The sequence below is a fragment of the Homo sapiens genome, chromosome 19, assembly GCF_000001405.40.
Source record: "Homo sapiens chromosome 19, GRCh38.p14 Primary Assembly".
NCBI lineage: Eukaryota > Metazoa > Chordata > Mammalia > Primates > Hominidae > Homo > Homo sapiens.
This window is the reverse complement of record NC_000019.10, coordinates 7,618,993-7,629,715: the sequence shown is the minus strand read 5'-3', so window position 1 is coordinate 7,629,715 and position 10,723 is coordinate 7,618,993. Positions and strand designations below refer to the sequence as shown.

Here is a 10,723-nt window from a genome sequence, read left to right as displayed (position 1 = left end):
ATGGCGCATCTTCTGGCGCCTCTATTCTGCTTCCGGTCGCTGGCGTCGTCGAAAAGAAGTCAATAACGTGGGCCTGTCCGTCAAAAATGATTTAACCAATAGAAAACGGGTCTGGCTCGGAGGGGCGGGCCGTCAGTGGTAGACGTCATAAGCGCGCGACTCTCTCCTGTACCTGGGCATCCAGAAAAATGGTGGTGATGGCGCGACTCTCGCGGCCCGAGCGGCCGGACCTTGTCTTCGTGAGTCCACAGAGGAGCCGGGGGTGGCCTGCGTTGGGGCATTGGGACCTGGACGCCGCAGGGGATCGAGGCTGGGTCGGCAAGGAGATTTAGGCCGAAACTGCCAGGCCAAGGTCTGGGAACCCTAATGGGCCAGAGACCGGATCGTCATGTCCGCACCGAACTGTCCAGGAGTAAAAATATGGTGTTGTATCTTCGGGTCTGAGTAGAAAACCACTGTCGAAGGGAAGCGTCTAGCCTCCCGAACCAGGGGCGGAAATGGGGGCGTGCAGGGAATGGGAGAGGAGGAAGATCGCATAACTGAACCTTGAGAGGTGAAGATCGGTGTCTGAAGTAAAGGCTTGCTTACGAGGCCAGGGTTCTGGTTTCTGGGATGAAGGCTTGGTTTTCTGGATAGCGGTCTCTAGGCCTGGACTGCAGCATGACAGTTTCTGGGGTGGTGGCCAGGCTAGAAGAACCCTGGTGATGTGGAGCTTGTCAGGCGATGGCCAGTGAAATACTTACTCTCTGGAGTAGAGGCGTGACATCTTCACCAGATTCTTGGTGTGCAGAGTTAAAGGCTTGGCTTCTGGTGTATAACTCCTCCTGTGAGATAAAGGCCTAGCTTTTAATTTCTGGGGCAGAGTTGAGCTAGACGCTGGCTAGTGGGATCCTGGGGGCGGGGCTAGTGGCTTGGAATCTGGACCTGAGAGCCCTGGTGGCTGGGGTAAAGATCTGGTCATCTGGGCCTGGGGTGGAGATGGGTCAGATGGTGACAGTGGGAGTCTGAGGGGCCAAAGGCCTGGTGTCTGGGAAGAGGCACGTTTTGAAGAAGTGGGGTCTGGTGTCCAGGACTGGCATCTGGGCCAGGGCCTTGGTATCTAAGGAGTCTGACCATCTGGGGCAGAAAGCGAGTGGTGATGCGGACTCATTCCTGGCCCAGAGCCCTAATGACTGAGAAGTCTGATGATTTGGGTTCGATTTTGGGTAGTTGAATTCTGAGGGGTAAAGGTCTGGGCCACTGTCTTGGTGTCGGGCATCTGGTTTGGTGCCTGGGCATCTGGTGACCTGACTTCCTTGGTGGGTGGTGGGATCTAGGTAAAAGTCCGGAGTTTGGACCTGAGCCCCAGCAGTGGGATGGTGCTGCACACAGGCTCTGAGGGTAGGCCTCTCTTCTTCCCATTCCCTGGCCCTGGCAGGAGGAAGAGGACCTCCCCTATGAGGAGGAAATCATGCGGAACCAATTCTCTGTCAAATGCTGGCTTCGCTACATCGAGTTCAAACAGGGCGCCCCGAAGCCCAGGCTCAATCAGCTATACGAGCGGGCACTCAAGCTGCTGCCCTGCAGGTGGGAATGGCTCCAGCTGCCCTGCCCACCAGCCCCCACCCCACCTGGTCCAGTTATAACAAAACTGCCAAGTGGGTCCCGGGTCCCGGGTGATTGCTTCGTGTTTCATCACTGACCTGTACATCCCTTGATGGGTCAGCACACCTTCTCTGATGTCCCAGTCTGTCCCTGTCATTGCTGAGACATGTCACCCCTCCCACACCCCTTCTTCCCACATTTGCCAACTGGGGCAGGGCAAATGGTTCTGGGGGTGTCCATAAAGCTGACCGATCAGCATCTGTCCCCTCCTATTCCCCAGCTACAAACTCTGGTACCGATACCTGAAGGCGCGTCGGGCACAGGTGAAGCATCGCTGTGTGACCGACCCTGCCTATGAAGATGTCAACAACTGTCATGAGAGGGCCTTTGTGTTCATGCACAAGGTTTGGGGCTCGGCGAGGGGATGAATCGGGAAGTGGAGCTCAGTCCATGGTGGTGGGTGGGGCGGGGACAGGGGCTGGGCTCAGCATGTTAGGGATGGGGGCTTGGATTCCTGTTGCTTCTTTGCATGGGAAGTTGGGCTGGACTCAGTCCTGGAGCTGGGGGTTTCTGGGTCCCGCCGCATTTATGTGGTGGCCCCAGGTGTGGCTCAGCCACAGGACATCGAGTGTCTGTGGCCAGGCCATGGAGTCCGTGGCTTAGCCCCAGCCGCCTCTCCCCACACCCCCAGATGCCTCGTCTGTGGCTAGATTACTGCCAGTTCCTCATGGACCAGGGGCGCGTCACACACACCCGCCGCACCTTCGACCGTGCCCTCCGGGCACTGCCCATCACGCAGCACTCTCGAATTTGGCCCCTGTATCTGCGCTTCCTGCGCTCACACCCACTGCCTGAGACAGCTGTGCGAGGCTATCGGCGCTTCCTCAAGGTGAGCCTAGCAGGTGCGCTGGTTCCCCAGGTTAGTTTCCAGAAACGGCCTCACTGTGACACTAGCTCCGCGTAGGATGTCACCCAGCAGACGGGATGTGGGAAGAGGCTCCTGGAGATGCATGTGTTTTGTTGTTGTCCGTGATTCATGTCTTTATTTTCCAAATAGTTTGTTCACACTGGTTTCACATTAGGCATAGCGATGGGTGCTGAGGACAGTGTGACTAAGACACTCCCTGCCTGCACGGAGCTTTTAGTCTAAGTAGGAAGACAGATGCATATGAGCTGATGGCATGAACTAGAGTAAAACCACAGCCATGAAGAGGGCCAGGAATAGGGGTGGGGAGAAGCAGGCAGGGTGGAGAGTGGAAGCACCAGCCGGGCGGGAGTGGGGCATGGTTTGCTCAAACTTAAAGTATCTGTTTTATGACGTTTGGATTCTAAGCTGGACCAGTCAGGACTGAGGCTGGACCCGTGGGGCCCAGGCTGGACACTATAGTCAAGGCTGGACCCATGGGATCAAGGCTGACCCAAAGGGGCCAAGGCTAGACCAGTCAGGACTGAGGCTGGACTAGTGGAGCCAAGGCTGGACCCATTGTGGGTTGGGGGTCAATTCTAACCCAAAAGGACCAAGGCTGGACCATTGGGGCTGAGACTGGACCACCGCAGTCAAGGCTGTGCCCTTGCGGGTCAAGGCTAACCCAAAAAGTCCACAGCTGGTCTAGTCAGGACTGAGGCTGGACCAGTGGAGCCAAGGCAGGACCCACAGGGGGTTGAGCCTAACCCAGTGGGGCCAAGGCTAGACCAGTAGGAACCGGGCTGGACCAGTGGGGCTGAGGCTGGTTTGACAGGGCTTGCTTTTGCCCAAGACACTCATAAATGGGTGGGGGGGGACGCCCCGAAGCCACTGAATCGGGAGGTGGGCGTAGCCCTGCCACCCCACTGACTGCCTGAGGGGTGGCTCGGTCCCCAGCTGAGTCCTGAGAGTGCAGAGGAGTACATTGAGTACCTCAAGTCAAGTGACCGGCTGGATGAGGCCGCCCAGCGCCTGGCCACCGTGGTGAACGACGAGCGTTTCGTGTCTAAGGCCGGCAAGTCCAACTACCAGGTGGGCCTGCCGGGAGCCGGCAACTGGGTGGGAGGGCCACCCCCTCCATGACTGAGCCTGAGACTCTCCCCCACTGCCCCATGCCCTGCAGCTGTGGCACGAGCTGTGCGACCTCATCTCCCAGAATCCGGACAAGGTACAGTCCCTCAATGTGGACGCCATCATCCGCGGGGGCCTCACCCGCTTCACCGACCAGCTGGGCAAGCTCTGGTGTTCTCTCGCCGACTACTACATCCGCAGCGGCCATTTCGAGAAGGTGCATGCTGGCACACGGGGCTCTGGGTTCGGGGCGGGGTCTCCCTCCGACACTCGGGGACACATGTTGACACATGCACAGGCAGAAAACATGCCATTTATGGCTGGGTGTGGTGGCTCACACCTGTCATCCCAGCACTTTGGGAGGCCGAGGCGGTAGGATCACTTGAGGTCAGCAGTTCAAGACCAGCCTGGCCAACATGGTGAAACCCCATCACTACTAAAAATACAAAAATTAGTCAGACATGGTGGTGCGCGCCTGTAATCCCAGCTACTCGGGAGGCTGAGGCAGGAGAATCGCTTGAACTTGGGAGGTGGAGGTTGCCGTGAGCTGCGATCGCGCCACGGAAGTCCAGCCTGGGTGGCAGAGCGAGACTCCATCTCAAAAAAAAAAAAAAAAAAAAAAAGTGCCATTTTTGACAGACATGCATATCCCTGCACACGATTACTATCCTGCTGAGGGTGGGGGAGCACTCCTGCCCGCAGGCACGTCAGCCTTGGAGTCAGCCACATTTGCGTTCAGGGTTCACCCTCTGGCTCTGCGGCCTTGGCCCCACTAAGGTGGGGTGTCTTCATTTGTAAAATCAGGGTGACAGTTACTGCCTGTCACCAATCAGCTCAGTGACGCAGGCACAGCACTGAGGAGGTACGTGGTGTGAGGGCCACTCCCTCAGGGGTTAGCTGACTGTGGCTCTTGGCAGGCAGTGGAGTGGCAAGCTCAGGGGATGGCCTGGGGGCAGGTGGGTGCAGAGGGGGCCAGAGCCGAGAGCGGGGAGGCTCAGGAACCCAGGGAAGATAGGTTGGGAGCCTCGAAAGCCAAACGGGCTGGCCATGCTCCTGGCTGGGGGAGCCGCCAGTGGGGTGTGGGCGGTATGCGCTTCGCAGCGCCCCTTCCAGGGGCACGTGTAGGCCAAGGCTGTCGGAGGCAGCAGGGCAAGACCCGTCAGGGCTGGGTAGAGAGAGGGGACCTGAGCTGGGGTGGGCGAGCCAGGTGGAGGACAGGCGGGCTGGGGAAGAGGGTCAGGCAAGCGAGAGGGACGCTTTGGAGCAAATTCTGAGGCCTCGGAGGATGAGCTGAGGCGAGGGTCCCTGCAGGGTGGACCCATAGGCGCTGGGGGGTTTTTGGCCACCTATTGGGTGCCAAGTGCTTCACACATGTGTCTCAGTCGAGCCCTGAGGTCACTGTGTGCAAAGGGCAGTCACCCAGTTTACTGAGGAGGTCCTGAAGCTCCCAAGACCACCCTGGCAGTGCAGGGCAGGGCGGGGGTGAGAAGGCTCCACGGAGGCTCTGTCCTGGGGTCACTACCCAGAGGTGCTGGATGCGTCACTACCCAGAAGGCCCCCAGGGGTTCCACATTGAGGCTGGTGCTAAGAGTGCTGCTGCCTGTCCCCTGCGCCACTTTCCTCTCACCTCCCCTTCCCTGGGTCCCCACAGGCTCGGGACGTGTACGAGGAGGCCATCCGGACAGTGATGACCGTGCGGGACTTCACACAGGTGTTTGACAGCTACGCCCAGTTCGAGGAGAGCATGATCGCTGCAAAGATGGAGACCGCCTCGGAGCTGGGGCGCGAGGAGGAGGGTGAGCCTCTGGGGGCCCCGGCTGGTGGGGAGAGAGCTGAGTGGACATTAGCGGTAGGGGCGGGACACATCTCAGGTGAGGCAGCCCTGGGAGGCTCAGCTGGGGGCCAGCAGGGAAGGAGGCTGAGTGGATGCAGGGGGTGTGGGGGTCTTGAAGGAGCCAGGAATGGGGACACTTCTCAGGCCTGGGCCAGAGCCTGGCAGGGCAGGAGGGCTAGGGGAACAGTGGGGGTAGGAGGGGGTATCCACAGTACCTGGGGCTGGGGGTGGGGCTCAGGTGGACACCCGAGCTGAGTGTCTAGGGCCCAGAGCACTTGGCTGGGGGCTGGAGCGGAGTGAGGGTGGGGAGTGGAGGCGGTGGCATCCGGGGACCTGCATCCTGGGTCTCCGCCCCTGACAAACATGTTCGCGGCTCCCAGATGATGTGGACCTGGAGCTGCGCCTGGCCCGCTTCGAGCAGCTCATCAGCCGGCGGCCCCTGCTCCTCAACAGCGTCTTGCTGCGCCAAAACCCACACCACGTGCACGAGTGGCACAAGCGTGTCGCCCTGCACCAGGGCCGCCCCCGGGAGGTACATGAAGCCTGCCCCAGTCCTACCCCTGAGGGCCAGTTTCCTGCAGAACTGGGGAGCCACCCACCTTCACCCATAATGTCACCTTCTAGGGGCCTGACTTTGCTTAGTAGGTCCAATTCCACCCCTGTTCTTGGGGTTCTCCTCCTGCCCGAGCCCCGCCCCTCAGAGCCACAGTCCCTCCTGGCCCCACCCCTTGGAGGGCCACAGCTCCCTCGTGGCCCCGCCCCTTGGAGGGTCACAGCTCTCTCCTGGCCCCGCCCCTTAGGGCCACAGCTCTCTCTTGGTCCTGACCATTGTCAAGGGCCATAGTTCGTTTCTGGCCTCTCCCGACAGGGGCCACAGCACCCTCCAGGCCCCACCCCTCAGAGCCACAGCTCTGCCCCGACCGTCATCTGCAGGGTCCTGAGTCCTATATGACCTCCTCCCTCCTGTCCCCAGATCATCAACACCTACACAGAGGCTGTGCAGACGGTGGACCCCTTCAAGGCCACAGGCAAGCCCCACACTCTGTGGGTGGCGTTTGCCAAGTTTTATGAGGACAACGGACAGCTGGACGATGTGAGCACCCTGTTGCGTGTGCCTGTGTGTTCATGCATGTGTGTGTGCTTGTATATGTGTGCATGTATGTGTGTGTACATATTTGTGCATGGATGTGTGCACGTGTGTGTGCATGTGCATTTGGGTGCATGCATATGTGCACGCATGTGTGTGCCTGTGTGTGTGCCTGTGTGTTTGTGCCTGTATGTTTGTGAGCATGGTCACCTTTCTGACCCTTGATGGTGGGAGCTGTCCAGGTGGGCAGGGTCTCAGCCTCGCCTCTGCCCGCCCCGGCAGGCCCGTGTCATCCTGGAGAAGGCCACCAAGGTGAACTTCAAGCAGGTGGATGACCTGGCAAGCGTGTGGTGTCAGTGCGGAGAGCTGGAGCTCCGACACGAGAACTACGATGAGGCCTTGCGGCTGCTGCGAGTGAGAACAGGCCCAGGCTGTGGGGTGGGGGCTGCAGGTTGTAGGGCAAGGGCCAGGGACAGCCCCTGAGCGCCTCCCCGGCCACTGTCTGCCCCTGCAGAAGGCCACGGCGCTGCCTGCCCGCCGGGCCGAGTACTTTGATGGTTCAGAGCCCGTGCAGAACCGCGTGTACAAGTCACTGAAGGTCTGGTCCATGCTCGCCGACCTGGAGGAGAGCCTCGGCACCTTCCAGGTGAGCTGCCTGTGGCTGGGGAGGGACGGGGCCCCGGACTCAGCTCCAGAACCAGCTCCAACCTTTCCCATCCCCACCCCTGCAGTCCACCAAGGCCGTGTACGACCGCATCCTGGACCTGCGTATCGCAACACCCCAGATCGTCATCAACTATGCCATGTTCCTGGAGGAGCACAAGTACTTCGAGGAGAGCTTCAAGGTGAGGGGCTAGGGTGGACCCAGAGGCCCCTGATGGCAGTGTCCCCTCCCCAGGGGTCCTCAGCAACTTACGAATCTGCTGGGGCTTGTGTGACACAGTATACAGACTGGGTGACTTAAACAACAAAGATTTAGCTTCTCCCCGTCCTGGAGGCTGGAAGTCCAGGATCGAGGCATGGGCAGGGCTGGTTCCTCCTGAGGCCTCTCTCCTTAGCTTACAGACAGCCGCCTTCTCCCTATGTCTTTGTGTGGCCTTCTCTTTGTGTGTGTCACTTTTGAAATTTCCTCTTCTTATAAAGGACATCAGTCATAATGGATTAGGTGGCCCCTAACGACCTCAGTTTAACTTAGTGATCTCATCTTCAAACGAATCTACTTTCTGAGGTACTGGGGGTTAAGATTTGAGCATATGAATGTTTTGAGGGGGGCACAGTTCATTCCATAGCAGGCACAGAATCCTACTTCCACGTGCACCCATGACTCATGGGGAGGGTGTTGGTGCCAGTGTGTGCGGGCTCTCCCTGCCCCGCTGCTCAGGAGACGGGTTGTGGGGTCCAGGGGGTGGGTTGCGTGTCCGTGGGAAGGCCATGTCCCGCGGCCGGAGCAGTCATGTTTGAGTGTGTGTTTCTATGGATCGTGTGGGCATTATACAGATACACAAATGGGGAGGTCGTACATGCATACGCGTGCTACTGCCTGCCCCTCTGTCAGGGGGTGCGGCCTTCTCCCTGGGGACAGGCAGCCAGCGTCAGCGGAGCTGGGGAGCCACCCACCTTCACCCATCATGTCACCTCCTATGGGGCCAGACTGTGCTTAGCAGGTCCCATTGCACCCCTGTTCTTGGGGTTCTCACAGAGGGAGACAGTGCAGAGGACAGACCCCCACAACTGCCATTAGGGACAGGGAGGCGTGGACAGGGAAGGGCCCCAAGGGAGTTCCTGGCAGGCTCCCTACAGACGCCACCCAAGGACATCCCGGGTGCCTGGTGGTCTCTATCTGCAGACTCTCACATGTGACTCTCCCTCTGGTAACAGGCGTACGAGCGCGGCATCTCGCTGTTCAAGTGGCCCAACGTGTCCGACATCTGGAGCACCTACCTGACCAAATTCATTGCCCGCTATGGGGGCCGCAAGCTGGAGCGGGCACGGGACCTGTTTGAACAGGCTCTGGACGGCTGCCCCCCAAAATATGCCAAGAGTGAGGCGGGCAGAGGGCATGGGGGGGGTGGCGGGCGGGCTGGGTTTCTGACTGGCCCCGGCTGACCGTGCTCCCCTCTCCCCGCCTACCCCGCCCAGCCTTGTACCTGCTGTACGCACAGCTGGAGGAGGAGTGGGGCCTGGCCCGGCATGCCATGGCCGTGTACGAGCGTGCCACCAGGGCCGTGGAGCCCGCCCAGCAGTATGACATGTTCAACATCTACATCAAGCGGGCGGCCGAGATCTATGGGGTCACCCACACCCGCGGCATCTACCAGAAGGCCATTGAGGTACCCACCGTGGGGGGCTGGGCCGGGGCCAGAGGTCCCTGAGCAGACGGAAGGGGTCCAGGCAGGTGGGAGGGGCTGAGGAGGAGCCTTCTGGAAGCACAGGGATGGCCATGGTGTGTTGGGAGCCCCCGAGCTACCCCGGCCTCACTCCCGGCCTCCCCAACCCCGGTGTCCAGGTGCTGTCGGACGAGCACGCGCGTGAGATGTGCCTGCGGTTTGCAGACATGGAGTGCAAGCTCGGGGAGATTGACCGCGCCCGGGCCATCTACAGCTTCTGCTCCCAGATCTGTGACCCCCGGGTAGGGCTGTGGGGAGGGACGGGTATCAGGGTTGGGGGCTGCGGCGGAGTCAGCCAGCTCACGGGCACACACACCCACCCCTGCCCTGCCCCCCACGCAGACGACCGGCGCGTTCTGGCAGACGTGGAAGGACTTTGAGGTCCGGCATGGCAATGAGGACACCATCAAGGAAATGCTGCGTATCCGGCGCAGCGTGCAGGCCACGTACAACACGCAGGTCAACTTCATGGCCTCGCAGATGCTCAAGGTCTCGGGCAGTGCCACGGGCACCGGTGAGCCGTCCCAGCTGGCTGAGTTCCTGATCCAGGGCATCTCAGCCCGGCCTGACCTGGGCTTTCCGGGTCTGGGAGCCTCGGATCCTGATGGCAATCTCCTTGAGGGCTGGGCCATCACCTGGGGGACTGGGATAGTGCAACGTCCGATGTGTGGGAGGGGCCCCCGTGGCGCTGACCCCCTGCTCCCACCCCCTAGTGTCTGACCTGGCCCCTGGGCAGAGTGGCATGGACGACATGAAGCTGCTGGAACAGCGGGCAGAGCAGCTGGCGGCTGAGGCGGAGCGTGACCAGCCCTTGCGCGCCCAGAGCAAGATCCTGTTCGTGAGGTGAGGGCGGATCCTTGGACGGGACAGGACTGGGACAGGTCCCAAGGGGGCCCGGGGTGGGGAACTGAGGCAGCATGGCCCGTCCCTAGGAGTGACGCCTCCCGGGAGGAGCTGGCAGAGCTGGCACAGCAGGTCAACCCCGAGGAGATCCAGCTGGGCGAGGACGAGGACGAGGACGAGATGGACCTGGAGCCCAACGGTGAGGGCCCGGCTGGGGCGGGGACGGTGGCATTACCAGGGTGGGCCTCGGGGGACAGGCCAACGCCAGGAGGGTGACTGGCTCCCGCCTTCCCCACAGAGGTTCGGCTGGAGCAGCAGAGCGTGCCAGCCGCAGTGTTTGGGAGCCTGAAGGAAGACTGACCCGTCCCTCCCCCATCCCCCCTCCCCACCCCCTCCCCAATACAGCTACGTTTGTACATCATGGTCTGAGCCTCCTTCCTGCTGCCCAGGTGCCCGAGGGAGTACAGCTCAGGAGTGCCTGGCCCTGGGCCGGGATTGGCTGCTGTGGGAGGTGGGGCGGCTGGGCCCCAGGCCAGATACTGCCCGGCCTCACCCCGCAGAGCCAGTTCTGGACTCGAGAGGCCAGTCCCTCCGCTGCCTGGGGCCTTGGAGTGGGTCCTGCCCGGAAACTTCCTTGAGCCTCTGTAGCCTGGGAAGGGCAATCCAGCCCCTGGCTGCCCAGGTCTCGCCAGCCCCTGCCTCTCAGAGCCCTTCTGTGGCCCCAGGCAGCTGCCGCCTCCCTGGGGTGGCACCCACTGTCTGTTCCCCACTAGGGACTGGCCCTTGCCCTCAAGTCTTGGAGTCAGGCAGGCTCTGGCCCAGCTCTGGGAACTGATTAGTAACGCGTTTCTGTGCCTGGACGGGGGCCAGGCGCCAGACCTTGTGCACGGCCCAGGACCAGGGCGTGGTCCTTAGTCCTAAGCCTGGGAAGCCATTAGCGGGCTGTAGGCTAT

The 10,723-nt window shown here is 61.0% G+C and overlaps 1 protein-coding gene across 1 annotated transcript, besides 1 other annotated feature; it reads left to right on the top strand.

Annotated features, from left to right (window-relative positions):
- Positions 140-259: an enhancer, noted in NCBI's record as "active region_13888". NCBI's record gives its function as "activates an Ori minimal core promoter by ATAC-STARR-seq in GM12878 lymphoblastoid cells {active_cell/tissue: GM12878}" and the evidence as "EXISTENCE:reporter gene assay evidence [ECO:0000049][PMID:35858748]".
- On the top strand, positions 171-10,191 carry XAB2 (XPA binding protein 2). Its single transcript, NM_020196.3, has 19 exons — positions 171-239; positions 1,418-1,566; positions 1,865-1,988; positions 2,276-2,473; positions 3,446-3,580; positions 3,672-3,836; positions 5,271-5,415; positions 5,834-5,985; positions 6,427-6,546; positions 6,823-6,954; positions 7,055-7,186; positions 7,272-7,385; positions 8,419-8,581; positions 8,680-8,870; positions 9,047-9,169; positions 9,270-9,441; positions 9,641-9,770; positions 9,860-9,969; positions 10,069-10,191. Exons 1-19 carry the CDS (start codon positions 189-191, stop codon positions 10,128-10,130), a joined length of 2,568 nt encoding a protein of 855 aa, NP_064581.2. The 5' UTR covers positions 171-188; the 3' UTR covers positions 10,131-10,191.
- Positions 10,192-10,723: the final 532 nt, after the last annotated feature.

Bases quoted from the DNA above. Each gene is read 5' to 3' on its own strand.
- XAB2 (NM_020196.3), top strand. From the start codon at position 189: ATGGTGGTGATGGCGCGACTCTCGCGGCCCGAGCGGCCGGACCTTGTC. The intron at 1,989-2,275 runs GTTTGGGGCTCG...CCACACCCCCAG, and splicing joins CCTTTGTGTTCATGCACAAG to ATGCCTCGTCTGTGGCTAGA. The intron at 6,955-7,054 runs GTGAGAACAGGC...CTGCCCCTGCAG, and splicing joins AGGCCTTGCGGCTGCTGCGA to AAGGCCACGGCGCTGCCTGC.